This window comes from Homo sapiens, chromosome 7 (genome assembly GCF_000001405.40).
Source record: "Homo sapiens chromosome 7, GRCh38.p14 Primary Assembly".
Classification (NCBI taxonomy): Eukaryota; Metazoa; Chordata; class Mammalia; order Primates; family Hominidae; genus Homo; species Homo sapiens.
Window position 1 is genome coordinate 31,559,946 of NC_000007.14, and position 16,604 is coordinate 31,576,549.

General features: G+C 39.6%; 1 protein-coding gene across 8 annotated transcripts in view; it reads left to right on the forward strand.

Moving 5' to 3' along the window:
* Window positions 1-16,604, forward strand: part of ITPRID1 (ITPR interacting domain containing 1) — a 144,631-nt gene that overhangs the window by 45,856 nt on the left and 82,171 nt on the right. For all 8 annotated transcript variants that reach the window (NR_047565.3, XM_011515213.3, XM_017011872.3 and 5 more), the window contains 3 exons: window positions 9,813-9,864; window positions 12,157-12,243; window positions 14,595-14,797. Coding sequence is in view for 7 of the 8 variants with exons in the window: in XM_011515213.3 (XP_011513515.1) it covers window positions 9,813-9,864; window positions 12,157-12,243; window positions 14,595-14,797 (342 nt within the window). In the remaining variant the exon portion in view is untranslated. The remainder of the gene's footprint in view (window positions 1-9,812; window positions 9,865-12,156; window positions 12,244-14,594; window positions 14,798-16,604) is intronic.

The following is a 16,604-nucleotide window of genomic DNA, read 5'->3' on the forward strand; positions in this document are numbered from 1 at the left end:
TGCCTCCTAAAACCAGGCTTTCCATTAGTACTGAGAATGCTGAAGAAAATAGATGCAATAGTGATAGAGACAATAAACAAATAAATACATATGTAATATGCTAGGAGGATGGATGATCAGGAAAGGCATCTCAAATAAGGTTACATTTCAGCAGCTACCTGAAAGAAGTGAAGGAGGGGAACATTTGTTATCTGGGGATGAGCTGTTTCAGGAAAATAAGATGGCATATGCAAAGCCAGGGGCAGGAGTATGTCCTCTGTGTTCCAGGAATAGCAAGGATGCCTGAATGGTTGCAGTTAAGTGAGCAAAGATGAGAGTAGAGGGCTAGGGGTTAAAGAATTATCCAGAAGCCAAATCATTTAGGGCTATGTATATCCCTGTAAGTATTTTGGCTCTTACTCAGTGTCACAAGGGAACCCTTCAAAGTGTTACAAAGAAGTGGTATTATCTTGGTTCTTTTTAAAAGAACAACTTTAGCTGCTGTTCACAGAGTTGGCTTTGGGAGGAGGAGGTTGGAAAGGGTTGAAGCGGGATCCCAGTTCAGAGGCTAATACAGTAATCCAGAGGAGAGAGGATAGGGCTATACAAGGCTAGTAGCAATTGTAGAAATGTTGGATGCTGGTTATGTTTAAAATGTAGACAGGGCAGCATATGCTGGTGAATGTATGTGGGATATCAAAGAAAGAAGGAAATCAAAGATGACTGCAAAAATGTTGCCCAAGCATCTGGAAGAATGAGTGGCAATTTATTGGGATGGGAAAAACAATAGAAGGATAGGGCTTTGCTTCAGAGATAGGAAGTTCAATTTTAGGCATGTCGTGATTCAAATTTTAATAAATATCCAAGAAGGTACTATTGAGTAGGTAGTTGGAAATACAAATCTGGAGTTCAGAGGAAAGGTCCGGGAATAGATATATACATTTGGGAGTAGCTGATGGGTAGATGTGTTAAAGACGGAAGACCACACAAGTAAATGCAGACAAAGAAGAGGCCAGGAAGATGTGAAGGACCAGCAAAGGAGAAGAGGTAGGTAATGAGGTAAAAAGGGAACCAAAAGAGAAGAGTCTGAAGGCAAGTGAAATCAGTGTGTCACGGTGGGAATGATCAACCCCATCAGCTGTTGTTAATTGACTATGTATGAGCAGGAACGACACCGTAACCTTGAGAAGAGCTATTTCAGAGGAAAGATGGGAGAAGATTGTACAGTTTTCAAGTGGGAATGATAGTAGAAGAATTGGAGACAGAAAACAGAAAACTGCTTTGAGGAGTTGAGAGGTGAAAGGGAGCAGTTAATTGAAATAACAACTGCAAGAAAAGTGAAGGCAAAGAGGATTTTCTCTTCAGGAGATGAAAGCTGTTGCAGCCAGGTGTGATGGGAATGATTGGTGGCTGAGATGTACTGAGGCATATGGTGCCTTCCCCCAGCCTTCCTGAAGCTGTGGGCAGAGTCTGGACCTGTTGTTCTGAGACTTCTCCACTTGGGGTATTGAAATCTCTTCCAATAAAACATTGCTTACCCAAGCTCATTTGCTGATAGAAATGATTTGGGTTTCTCCCTTTAGCTATGACAGATGCCTTCCTGTGCCCCTTCTTTCTATATGAATTTCAATAACTGCAAAAGGTTGGACAGCTGCCGTTGCTGCTTACGTTGTGAGTCTCACTGAAGCACTTCCCAAAGGATGGACTCTCATCTTCTGCTCTGTCTTCTGGCAAATGTTAGGGCATCTTAGCTGCGTGGCCTGACAGTCTCATCTCCAGGGCGTTGTCTGTTCAGGGCACCTGGATGACTTACAGAAAAGAGCCTCATGGGCATCCTTCAACTTCTTTCTCTTTTCCCTTTCTAAGAACTACCACCTCTGTGGGCAGATTAACTCTTCTTCATGGTCACCAACTACACAAGCAAACATGTCTGAGTCTCAGTTTGGGATGAATATGGATCCATAGACCTTCCTGTAACCACAAACACAAGATAGAACATTCAGAGTCTTTTTGAGGTCAATAGTGGTGTTAAAGAGCCCATGGTCATGGATGTTAAGGTCCCTCTTCCCAGGCTGCAAATTCATTCTTAATCTCAGATTCCATATGAAAGCTATGTATTTAAAAAAAAAAAAAAAAAAAAAAAAAAGCCTGGAGAGAGTATCTGGTTCATAGCAAACTCTTTCCCCCACCAGAAAACAAATTAAACATCAGTGCTATCTGGCTGAGATATGCATTGTCATTACAATGCCAGGATTATAATGCGAGTGAGAGTGCATTGTCATTATAATGCAAGGATAAGACACATACAATGAGTGCACATTTTAACATGTAGGTTTATATAATTAGCACTTGTTTAACAACACATCCAAGCATAACTGTGAGTGAAAAGACTAGAAGTAACTCCTACAGCAAAAAGACAGTTTCTGTCAAAGATATGCTTGGTGCCAGTTACTACTTGATAGGTTAATTCATGTGTCTTTTATATATTTAGTTATTTCTTCTCCCATCCCCAGAGAGGTCTCAGAAGAATAAACTCATTTCTTTTCAAAAGGAATTTGTTTCAGAATAGGAACTTATAAAATAAAAAATATAAATTTTCTGGTCTATTTTATAAGAAAAAGTCAAAGTAAATCCAAGTAAACATAACAGATGTTCCCTTACTGCTTGTCAGGTGACAATATTCACAACAATGATCTGTTTTAGGTGAAGGGAACAATGATGTAAAATATATGACTCTTGTTCTCCAGAATGTCACTCTAACTGTCCAGGATCATTATAATTCAAATGTAACCTACATCAACTTTTCTACAAGACCCTCTAGTCTTATTCCTTCTCATTATATTCCTAGTTCTTTATCTTTCTTCATCCTGTTCCTCCTGTCTTAAAGTCTTTCTTTCTGTTCTGTTCTCCTCTCCTTCTTTTGAGACCTGACCCAGGTCCCATATTCTCCATAAGACCTTCCTGACTTCTGCACTGATACTGAATCTTTCTTCTGAACACCACTAACATGCATTTTGGGTTCTACCCATGTGGCTCTTGGCCAGTGCTGCCTCAAATTGTTAGGGATATCATCCATTTCACTGACAAAATTATAAACCCCACTGAGACGGAATCATCTGTAAATTATCTGATTTCCCCAAAGTTAGTCGACAAAAGGAGCTCAGTAAAACATAATGAAGATATTGTCAGACTGGGAAGTCTCCTCAAAAGAGGTGAGACTGAAACTAGTAAATGAAGGAGGAATATGGTTTTTAAAAAACAAAGAGGCAAAGCAAGAAAAATTAATTTGCTGGAAGCAATAGGGGTTTGAACAAAGGCACAGAAATGAGAAGAAAGCTAAATATGTGCAGAAAAGCACATGGAAGGTGATCAGATGAAAGAAATGGTTTCATGCTAGGGAGCAATGGTAGAAATGTTTCTGTTAGATAGGATGAGGTCATATTATAACTTTTAAAATCCAGAAAGAGGGAATAACACTTGATGTCTTAGGGCTGAGATGACACTGGAGTGTCATCTCAGGTTCCAGTTCAAATGGAGAGGTAGTTGTACTTGTGGTCTGGGCTGAGCAGGATTTTGACACCCTATCTTTGTTCACCTGAAAAGGTCGTGAATAATTTGTGATAATAATTAGTGATAACTGTCGCAGGTGTGGTGTTGTGGGAGTTGAAGCAAGCATGTTACACATTTGCCAGCTCTATTATAGTGAGTCCTGAACTCACTGTAGTGAGAAGAGGAATGACAGATGCAGTGTTTATCCTGGCAGTGGGGAGGGGGAACACGTTGGGAAGAAGTTATAATGAACTCAGGCTTGAGGTGACGAGGGTTTACAATAGGGGGCGGCAGTGGAATGGGGAGGAAGGGTCAAAGATATCTGGAAATAAACAGACAAGTGGGTGAAAAAGAGCAAAGCATTCCAATGGGCTTTAAGGTTTTGAGCATGAATGTCAGCAGAGTGTAAGAGACTTTCTTTTAAATAAGAACATAGATTAATAATTTGCCAACTGAGACAAATGTTGCTGACTGCCTCTACTAAGTGTCCCAGTCATGCAGGAGTTAAATCTACAGAAAGCTGTAGAATGCTATTATTTTAGAGCCCTGCGAAAATGTAATTTGATTAGTCTATTGGACGATATTCCAAAGAACCAAATGTCTTCCATGAATCAGTCAGAAATGCTTAGGAAAACCAAAATAAAAAATGCTTTCTAAGCCAATAAAGGTGCTAATTAGTGCCTTCTGCATATCTAACTACATCTTCTCCAGTAATACATTTTGCAGGGTTAAGTGCGGTGTCTGCTGCTTCAGATGGCAGAAGTCCACCTAACAGTGGGGAGGGTGGCTGGAGACTCAAGTATCTAAAAGGGAGTTAAAACTGACATTTTAACCCATGGAAGGAGATGTATCAAATAGAGTGGGAAAAATTTTTTTCTCACTTTAATTTTTCTCCAAACCCTTAGGAAACTTGGGGATAGTAGGACTTAGTGTTTGTTTTTTTCTTTCTCCCTCCCCAAACACTCTTAGAGAGTAAAATCTGGTTTAAAAAAACCTAACCAGGGTATCCTGGAGGGGAAAAAATAGAGAAAATATCAAAACCAAGCAACTAGAGAAGCAAGTATAGAATTGAGGAAGACCCTAGCGAGCGGTCTTGTGTTGGCGGTACAGGTACACATGTATACTACCTGGGGCAGTCTCAAGCCTGGTGCCTGCAGAAACCTGGGAAAATCCAGGTAGCAGGAGTAGTTTGTCTGTCCTGTGATGGCATTCCCTAGGCGTGAGCTTCCTGCTCTGATCTGAGGTAGCAGACTCAGATGCTTCCTGGAGCCAGACAGGTAATTGCTAATGATAGAAGCAAGTGGGATAGCGACGGCAGAAAATTGGAGAGCAGGTTGCCTTCAACAGATTGCTGCCCTGAAGACACCTGGGCCGGGGCTGCTGGCTCTTCCAAGTTTTAAGGAAAGTCTAGCAACCCCAATCCCTGTGAGAACTGGCACATTGTGAGCCACCAGCTTGCACTTCTCCATTCAAGTTCATTATTAAGAACAGGCAAAGGGAAGCAGGACCTGGCCCTGACAAACACATCCTCAGGTCCCGGGAAATTTACCTTACAAATTAACAAAATGGGGAAAACCAAAACAAAACAACCACCCAACATACAATGAATAATAGTTTCTTATTTCCCTGTGCAAGGCTCCCAACTGCCTGAGTCTAAATGTTGGAAAAAGCTATCACTGCTTCTGCAATGATCAGGAAGTAAACTCACAGTAACGCTGTGAAAATACCCCTTGGTCTCCCGGGACCCTGGGAGCCCAGAACATAAAATGGAAATCAAAAAATAAAACTATCTTTAATAATTTTATAACAACTTTTAAAATGAGGTTCATCTTGTGAGTTTAAAAAATCATATTCAGTTTTCCTTGCCTTGGTTTTCTCCAAAATCTAAGCTCAGCAGCAGAGAAGGCTGTATGTCTGAATGTACTGTCTTTAGACAGACACTTGTATCATTTGAAACAAGATCAAGAAGAGAAAGTAATAGGCCAGCTGTGGTGGATCACACCTGTAAACCCAGCACTTTGGGAAGCCACAGTGGGCAGAGAGCTTGAGGTCAGGAGTTCAAGACCAGCCTGGCCAACATGGTGAAAACCTGTCTCTACTAAAAATACAAAAAAATTAGCCAGGCGTTGTGGCACATGCTTGTAATCTCAGCTACTAGTGAGGCTGATGCAGGAGAATCACTTGAACCTGAGAAGCGGAGGTTGCAGTGAGCTGAGATCACACCACTGCACTCCAGCCTGGGTGACAGAGCAAGACTCCATCTCAAAAAAATAAAAAATAAAAAAGTACAGGAGTCTGATAGCTGCATTTGTACATCTAGGAGGGTGAGATTCCAGTGAGGGGAGTCAGACACCCGACCTGACATCCTCTAATTATTGGTGACTGCTGGGCCCCACAGGATGCTAGTTGTACTGTGAAAGGCAAGAAAGCCCTTTCCCCAGCTGGTTCTAAAACTGTGTAAGGCTTTCATATGTGTCATCAGACCATGACCCAAATGGTCCACTTTGCACATTCCCTAGCAAACATGTTACCATTAGGGACTTTTTCTCTTGGAGAGTGCCCTTGGCTCCCTAGCAATCAGATTGCTCCTGATCAAGTGACAGGACACAGGGCGTGGTCCATGGAGTGTATCCTCTAGATCTGGTGGGCACTAGAATCCCTTCAAGAAGCCCTGGGTGAAGGGCTCCAGATTCTGGATGACTGGGTTTTCTGGATGACTCGATTTTCTGCAGGGCTAGGGTTTTTGAAAACTCAGCAAGGCTGAGCTAACTCTTCTCATCAATATCTGAAAACGGATCATTTCCTCTCTGACAGTTCGTGCAATGCACTGTGGCTACAAGGCCAGATCCCTGGCCTGATGTACACGTTTATTCACACATTCTAGGAAACCCAGAGCAATAGCAGGCAAACAAAAAAGACCAAAGCAGTGGCAAGAATGTCAGTGCTGGCAGAATATGCAGCCAAATGTCCTAGAACCATGCAATGTTTTAGGTGAAAATGGGTGTTCAAAAACTCTCCAGAATCATCTCGAAGAGCTAAACCAGGCACAAATGGAGGCCTTACTTTGTGAGTTACATGCAAAGTAGTAGATAGAACTGCTGCTGGTAGGAAGGAGGCAGGAATAAATATTTTAAAAATTGCTTGAAACAATATTTTATCTTCCATTTAGGCAACTTATTATTTAATTCATTGTGGCATCAAGTTATTACAATATGATCACCTAAAAATTACACGGTGCTTGCATCTATGACATGATTAATAAGGTGGCAAATGGGCTTTCTCTCATCTGACAACTTCAATCAATTGGCAGTGGTTTTATGCGTTTCAGAAGCTCTGAGATGGAGTTGGGTGCAGTGAGCAAGAATGCCGCAATGGATTAGCCATGCCTGCCTAGCTGAATTGGGTATTGACTTGGTAGTTTTCAAACTCTGGCTCCTGAAGGTGCCTCACGGGTGAGGGAAGAGCTAAGTGGAAGAGCACTACATTCAGAACAGCTCTTTTTAAATTTATTTAAATTATTAGAATTTTGCAAAGGATTTTATATTATTGTGGAATTCCTATGATAAAACCTAGTGTTTTAAAACTACGAAGATAAAGGGGAAAAAAAGACTGGTGTTCTGATTCTAAGTTCATTTCTGACCTGGTGCATAAGTTTGAGTCAAATATTCTATTGTAATTTACATAAATATTTGTCACCAAATGTCACATGGAAAATTTTTGAAACATCACAGTTATTTCCTAATAATGGTCATTTACTCTGATATTCCATCCTTGATCATGGCTCCCTAGAATGTTTTATTATGAGCATTTATATATTCTCTTTATGTTTTCAACTTCTAAAGTTTATATGTACCCCATCTTACCCTGTTTCTTTTTTAATTCCACTTATGAAATTTATTCTAAACAAAGGATAGTAAATAACTCAATCTTATGTGATAATTCCAATCAGTTGGTAGTGGTTTTCCTGAAGAAGGGATAAGAAAAGTGACAAAATTGGTAATGATGTCTGCCATGGGAGTAGCATTGGGAGTGATAGCACAGAGGCCGTATATATTCCCACTCACTATTTAAACCTTTAAAATCGATTCTATTTCTCACCCCGCCTGACTCTTTTTTTTTTTTTTTTGAAACGGAGTCTTGCTCTGTCACCCAGGCTTGAGCGCAGTGGCGCAGTCTCCGCTCACTGCAAGCTCTGCCTCCCGGGTTCACACCATTCTCCTGCCTCAGCCTCCTGAGTAGCTGTCACCCTGCCTGACTCTTATGATGATAGTTACATTTGTTTTGTAGAGCAGAGACATTACTGTACCTATTTTCTCACTACTTCTTTAAATTGTAGTCCTGTATTCTGAGCTTAGTTAAGAATCCACTATTGCCAGGCGTGGTGGCTCATGCCTGTAGTCCCAGGACTTTGGGAGATGGAGGCAGGTGGATCGCTTGAGGCCAGGAGTTCCAGACCAGCCTGGCTAACATGGTGAAACCCTGTCTCTACTAAGATTCAAAAAACTAGACGGACATGGTGGTACACACCTGTAATCCCAGCTACTTGGGAGGCTGAGGCACGAGAATCACTTGAACTCGGGAGGCAGAGTTTGCAGTGAGCTGAAATCACGACACTGCACTCCAGGCTGGGTGACAGAGCGAACTGTCTGAAAAAAAAAAAAAATCACTATTTACTTGCAAGTCAGTAATACATCTCCAGTCTTTATCCTTCTAGACCAGTCTTCTTTTTCCATTTAACAGGGTCACTAAGCCTTTTGAAAATCTTCTGAAAATGATGGGTATTCTTATCTCCACTCCCAAAATTTGGCATTTAGAGACAAATTCACAGGTACCTGTCGTCTATTCATAGACCCTCTACTCAGACAAGAACCCTAGCCCTTTATTCTCTTCAGTATTCTTTCATATGTTTAAATCATTCAGGATTGCTTTTCCAAAATTTCTCCTAACCTCTATTATCTTTCTTATGGTAAAAATCTTTATGTTCTCATAGAAATACAGCTTGGCAACACTTCCCAGTTTCACACACGTCACACATTTGCACCCAGGAGAGCAACAAGTAAGCGGAAATAAGAACACTGGTGAACCTTCTGAGGAATTTGCCCATATTCTAAGCATTTTCTTCTGCACGTGTCAGCCACATTTTATATCATGATACAGGGTCTGAATCTTGCAATGGCCCCTGAATAAGCCTCTCTGATAACCAATATTTATTTCCTCTATTCTGTCTTCAGCACCGCTATCAGGCAAATGAACATTCAGCATCATCTTTCTCACATTTACTTGTTTGCTCAAAAACCTTTCGTGGTTTTCATGTCCTAACACATACATATACACTCCTCTTTCTGTCTTTCAAATAAGCTATAAGATGCTCTGTTGGCAGTGTGGTGTTACAGAAACAACAACAACAAGCTAAAATAAGTTGCAGCATCCTACTAGCCATGAGAAATTTATTTAATCTCTCTCAGCCTCAGTTTTCCTCTGTGTTAAGTGGAGATCAATAATATCTATTTCAGGGATTTGTTGTGAGAATTACAAGAGAATGTGTGTGTAATATGCTTAGCACATTGCCTCGCACTAAGTTAGTGCTAAATAGTCAATGTTATTGCTGCAATCAATAATAAAGGTAAGAATAAATTCCTAGATGCACTACTTTTGACTGTATGACTATGGGCTCATTACTAAAGTTCTGTGAATCTCAGTTTCTAATCTGAAAAATGAGGATAGGTTCTAATTTTAAGGCTGTTGGAAGGATTAGATGATACAAATGAAGGGAATATGCTTCATACATGCTGGGCCCTTCATGTATTATTTTTTGCCTGTCCCCACACTACTTCACAACTTCCTGTACCATGAGAGAGCATCCCTAAATGCCCTATGAGCTAATCAGACTACCCCTAGCACTCTGCTTTGCACTTTCTGTAGACATCTTTTTTCTCTTTAAGGGCAATGTGTCTTTTAAGGGCAATGCCTCTTTTCCAGCCATCAAATTCTCCCATTCTTAAAAATCCAAGACAAGTACCACTTCCTCCATGAAACCTTTGCTGAATACTCCATTTAGCACTGACTTCCCTCTCCATTGAGCCAGTACATTTCTTCACGTGTTTGTCATACCATGTAGCCATTAATTTCATTCTGTCTATTCACTGCAGTGATGCCTTGTATTTCATGCCTATATAACCTTGGATATGGAAATTCAATTCTACCTTGGTTTCATTTGGGGTTGAGAAAATCTTCCGCAAGATAAAACGAAATAAAGTTCCCCTCTACTTTTTTTGTTGTTGCAGTTTCTTTGTATGAACAAGGGATGGTTCAAATGACTGTGAAAGACTACATGAGGTAGGTAGCAGAATCAGTGTTACTTCATGCCAATATTTTGCAGCCACACCTTTGCTGAATAAAATAGAAGTAGGGAAGTTTTCTTAATATTGCCATAGCTCTTGGGATCTCGTGAAAGGTAACTGGTTTAGTCACAGTGCCTAGAATGTTTACATCAGCTTTGAGAGAAATAGAGGTTCCTTAAAAATCATAAAATTGTGAGCAAATTAAATCAACAAATGTTGATGTGGGGGAAAATTTAATTACAACATATGCATAAATGACATTCTACTGTACTGCAACTGTTCATAAGGACCTGTTTATAAAACAGTTGCATTCAATATTTTCATTTTGGCTAATGTAATTGATTATTATTCTATTTACTGGACAACAATATATACAATTTCCAATGCTAGGTAGAAAGCAGTGAGAGTCTCTTCATTGGAGGAAATACTAGGTCTCAAGTGTGGTGCCCAGAACACCAGCATTAGCATTGTGGGGGACCTTCATAGAAATGCAAATTCCCAATCCCCACCCTAGACCTACTGAACCAGATCATTTGGAGGTAGGGTCCAGAAATCTGTATTTGTGCATGTCCTTCAGATGACTTTTTCAGCCACACTCTTTTAAAAACCACTGGAATAGACTATGAGCTCTTTCAGGTTAGGAACTCCCCTTCCTGCGCTTTTGTCACCTTCGCATTTTCAGGATAATTCCAACTAGTCGTAAACCAAATCTGCAGTACTGCATCCCCCTGCTGCTACCAATTCACCCCTAAAATGCTATTTGTCATAGATTTTTCTCCTGCAGGATTGGTTGTTTTTGCTACTTATAGAATCATAGAGCTATAAAAGACCACAGAAATCTCTCAGGCAACTCTCGCTTTGTTGAAGAGGAAAATGAGAGCCAGGTTCTGTGACCAACTCGTGCTTCCAGGCTTTATTACAACAGTGACTCTGTATTGGTTCTCCTTGGATCCAAGGGCAGGCTGCTTCTGGGTTGCTCTGCTGCACCTTCCAAAATAAGGTGTGGCCCTCAAACAAAGAAGGAAAAATAAATTATGGCAGGCCTAATGAAAACTGAGGTGGGGCAATAAGTGAAAGGGTATCTTCTGCCTCTCCTTGAGGCTCAAGGAGCTCAACTGTCTGTTAACAGCAGAGTTTTTACTATCCAGAAAAACACACTTTCTCAACCTTACAGAACAGAAGCAATTAAAGGACAGGGCCCAGCTATTGTTTTTTTTTGTTTGTTTGTTTGTTTTTGAGACAGAGTCTCTGTCACCCAGGCTAGAGTGCAGTTGCGCCATCTCAGCTCACTGCAATCTCCACCTCCTGGGTTCAAGCAATTCGCTGCCTCAGCCTCCCGAGTAGCTGGGATTACAGGCACCTGCCACCACACCTGGCTAATTTTTGTATTTTTAGTGGAGAGGGGGTTTCACCATCTTGGCCAGGCTGCTCTTGAACTCCTGACCTCATGATCCACCCACCTCGGCCTCCCAAAGTACTGGGATTACAGGCGTGGCCACCATGCCTGGCCCAGCTATTCTTACCAAATGTAGCTAGAACAAAGTTAGCAACCCAAGTAGGATACCTTGTTCTCCTTGGGAACATTGATATCTGCATTGTATTTTTAATAAATTCTAAATATATGCCAACTGGCTATTATATTTGATGGGGCTAGATGTGATCCATGGTATAGCTGAGCTATATGTATAAAACTGAACTATATTATGACAGGGTTCCACTCTCTTTGGAAGCACTTTCAAATGATCTGCAAAGCAGGCCTATTGGATAGTGATGTTCATTTTTTCCATAGTAAAGGAGTTTGTTAGAAATGCATATGGATGGCTACAGGAGCCCTGGAGACAGCACTTAGAGAGTGTTAGCCATGTGATATGAAATCCTTCACTAGTATGAGAATTAATGTAGAGTCACTTCAGTGACGGCTGGCTGTACTTCTTTCAGCATATAATTTTAACTTCTTCCTGAAAGTTGGTGCCTAGCAAAGCTGTGTTCCTGAAAGGTTCCCCAATGATATGCCATCTGTCAAAAGTGAGACATTCTGTCACCTTCATAATGAGCACTAGCGGGCACCTAATGCTTAAATTCTTACACCTTCTATAATACAACGCTCTTGAAAACAGGAGCAGCTCCTCCACTGCAAGCTGTCTTCTGCAAAGGTGTGGTCATTATGGGATTATTAGAGACTAAGAGGAAATGCAAATGTTTGCTCTGGAAGGAAAAGATTCACAATGACCTCCCAGGAGACTATCTAAATCAACACATCTCATTGTTGATATTTTCCCAACTGTAGATCTTTGCATCAGTTTTCAGAAACTCCCATCCTATCCAGAGGGACCAGTTTCAACTCTTGCTATTCTACTGCAAGTGTACCACAAAGGTATGTAATTTCCAGGTGCTTTTCATCCTGAGAAATCATTCTGTGCAACAATGGATTTCATGAAATTATAAATAGGCACTTGTTGAATGAATGGATGAGAGAATGAATAAAAGATTTTCAAACCCCATCTTGCAATAACAATATAAAAGAGTTAAAGGAGTTAATAAAATTGGAAACAGACTAAATATCTGTCAATGGGGAAATGGCCAAATGAGTGATTGGCCAGTTCATTTTACAGAATTCCATATAGTGATAAAAAGCATAGTCAGACATACACATATTGGCTTAGAAAGCTCTATATGCCATATTTTTTAAGATTAAAAAAAGCAAGATGCAGGAAGGTATATAGAGTATGTTACTATACATAAAGCAAACAAATGAAAACCATAAAACATGTATGTAACTGCATAGGAAAATGTCTGGAAGGATACACATAGGTTTAACTGGAAGAGGGTCAGGATTGGTGGGGGTAATAATTGAGGGGAGTGAAAGCATTTTGTGTACTATTAAAAATTTTTTAACAAAGTCAGTATATCTAATTTCTTCCACCATTAAGTATTACTTAAAAAGTTAATGATATTTTCATGATGATATGAAAATATGTTTAATGACCAATCAATACTTATATTCTTGGTCAAGAGACTGAAGCCTTTGGAAAGCAGGAACTGTGTTCATTTTTGAGCCATGTGTACCTAGCATAGAACCTAGAACATGACAGATATTCAATAAATATATGTATAAATGGGTAGGATAAACATTTGTACAGTGAAGTCACTATGATAACAGATTAAATCTTTCATGCAACTTTAGATTTCTCACCAGAATTTTTTTCTTCCTTGAACCTCTTTATATTCAGGTGTCTGTGTCAGTGTAATCAAGTGATTGGCATTCCTGATTCCCCTGGTAATCCCATGATTAAGATATCCAAATGGAGCCATCTCCAGTTCACGTTATAAGTTTCAATAATCAATTGCACTGCATGGTGACCACAGTTAATATTAACTTATTGTGATTTCAAAAATGCTAAGAGAATATTATTTCAGATGTTCTCACCACAAGTGATGTAGTGGGTGTTTTAATTGGCTCGATTGAATATTTCTACAACATATACATAGAACAAAACTTCACACTGTACTCCATAGATACACACAATTATTATTTGTCAATTAAAAATTTTAGTTTTTTTTTTTTAAAAAAGAGACACAAAATAATTAAAGAAAAAAAAGAAAGTGTGAACATGATGCTGGTTGTATCTGGTAAGTGGGCGTCCCCAGTGAGATAGCTACCTGTTGTTGAATGTGTAAATGGCTAAGTAAATGAATTGTAGTTAATCCAATTTCAATTAGGAAGTCACTGAAGTAAAATTATCTAAACTATCTCAAATAGGCTCATTATTGTTGCATGTAAAGAAAAGGCAAACAAAAACTTCAACAAAAGAGCTGAGCAAACCTGGTAAAATCTCGTCAAAAGGTCTGCTTCCCATGGAATCCATGAAAGACTCCCATAGTCTCCTGGGTTAGCTCAGTAACTTAGGCAAAGTTCAGACATGAATTGGCATACATAATATAACTATTTATATTTATAAATATAACAATTAAATATAGAATTGTAATATGTCTATAATTATAACAAAATTAAATAATTTAGATATTTATATATACAAATCAAATTAAAAATATATATAAAATTTTAATAAAAATTATAAATATAATTTCCAGCTAATTGATGTTTATCATTTAAAGTGCCAAAGTGGACTAGAATGAGTTGGTAAAAGCATTTTTTGTTTCTTAGCCAAGTACAAAAATAATACAGAACACATTTTAATTCTACCTAGGGACTTACAGTCATTATTTGTAAACATCAGTCCTGGTAGTCTGCATTTAATGATGTCCTGGACAGATCTGTGTTGCTGAGGATGCTGCAGACTGGTGCTCTATTAAAATAGCCTTCTTTTAGTCTACTGTTTACAGTTTTGTGGGATTTTTTTTTTTTTCTGTTTCATTTCTTGCCTTTAGTGACCACTTGTTTTTGGTTGTCAGTGCACTGCCTCTGGCTGGTATCTGTCCTGCAGTCTCCCTGCCCTGTATAATTTACCATGTGCCTGTTGTGGAATGGGAAGCCAGTTAAGTAAACTCATAGTTTTGGATGTAAAGTACAGGCAAGCAGTCCCTGAGTGGGGGTGCCAGATAGTCCTTTAAGTAAGTATATAGGAACGCTAGTGCACGCACCGTTTGTCTATTTAGGATCCTCTTTCACTCAGTATCTGGGAGATTGGGTGGATGAGGTGACCAGAAAAAAATGGTGTTGGGTTAACTGTTTCTGGATAAAGATATTCATATTTTTTACCACAGCATTCCTGAATGGCTGGAATTTTGGGAGATAGATCCAGTGGAGATTCTCTTGGATCTGGGGTTTGGTGCTGATGAGCCAGACATCTGCATGCAAATCCCAGCCAGATTCCTTGGTTGTGGCTCAGCAGCCAGAGGAATCAACATCCGTGTTTTTCTTGAAGCTCAAAAGCAGCGAATGGACATTGAGAACCCCAACTTGTACGGTAAGCGAGGTGCCTGTGGCATTCGCATCTCAGCATTGGGAATGAGTGGGCAGGTGGGCCACAGTGTAGGCGAGGAGATTGTGTGAAGTAGCATGCAAACCCTCTATTACAGTGACTTCACACACAAAAGATGGATTTCTTGGTCATCCTATATGTCCAGTGGGAGTTGGTGTGTATGTTTTGGAGAAAGGAGTATCTATTTGCTCCATGTTGTCCTCACTCAGGAACACGGCCTCTAATCTGGAACCTCACTAGTTGCAATGATAGCGAAAGATAGAAATGGAGAATGATACTCAGCTCTTACATCCTCTGCTCCTAACTTACACACAGCGGGTCTTGTTCACATTTCATTGGCCAAAATAAGTCACATGGCCACACCTAACTCCAAGTGGGTGGGAATGTACAACCCTACCAATTGCCCAGAAGGAGGAAAGCTGGCAGTAATGGTGAGCAGCACTAATATGTACCGTAGCCACACACCCAGGAGGCAGAGAAACCAGAATCTGACAAGGATTATCATGAATCATTAGGTGAAACCCTAATTTCCTCATTTATGAGATTTAGAACACTATCGTTTATACCTTGAGCTGTAAGTGATAGTTATTAATCTGCCATCCCTCCTGATTTAACTATGTCTAAACCTTATAGCTAATCAGGCATGTTGCTGTACTTCTTCAGCTGGTGGTCAATGTAATCCTTTTCTCTAGGACATTACTAAGCATGTTCTTGAGGGTGCCTGTACTGTGCTCAAAACAGTTTGGGGGAAAGATGCTTTGCAGCGTAATAGGTTTATTTACTGCAGGATTGATTTAATATGCCAAGGTGCACTTTCAGCCTCCTAGAGGGGATGCAGTGCAGCATTTCAAAACCACTTAAATACAAAAGGCCTCTTGGAGAAGCATTGAGGAAGACCTTCTCTATAGTACAGAGTTTGAGGAATTCTGGAGGGGGGAAATGACAAAATTCTGATTCTCAAATAAATTCTTTTAAATAAACAAATTCACTAAAAGGAAAGTCATGTGAGACAAAGTGTTTTTCTCAAGCAATTATCTGGAACAGGGACTTCACTTGGAGTTCTCATTTTAGCTCCCGTTTCTCCGTTTTCAAGTAGGTAAAATGGGTCTCAAAACTTCAGGAATGATATTTTTTTTTTAAAAAGAGTATGTAAAGCTGAAGGTTTTGCAATGTAGTATTTCTTTACTTTTTAGACTCAATTCATGTTGTTCCTTGTTATCTCCTCTTGCAAGCAGCACAGAGATGCAAATTCTTTGATCAATTCTTTATTTCGGGAGAATAATGTCATTTACCAATATTTGAATAGCATTTGAGCTGCTATGAAGTAAATATTTCACAAATGAAATTGACATATGGATTACAGAGAAACTAGGAGTTGGCCCCTGATTTTGTGATCCCTGGTGCACTCTAATTTCTACAACATAACACTTGATTCAAGGAAGCAGAGAAGGTCAAATATAAAACAACCAATAATAAAGCTAGTTGGCAGATAGAATGGAAAATTATATCTCATTCAAAGTCGATACAAATGTTTAAACTTGGGACATGAGAATCAATTAGTCCATTGTTCAATCTACCCAAAGGCAAAAATAAAAGAAAACACTTATCCAATGCTTCAGACTATTGTGTTCTCTGAATTGACTTAACCAATTAAATTGGTAGGTTTTGTCTTAGTCTAAATTTAAAAACCTGCTTTGGATGGATGTAAAGCAATCATAAAAGTTGAATTATCATTCAATTGTACCCTCTGATCGCAAAAGAGATTCAGTTTCAACTACAGCTTAATTTAGGG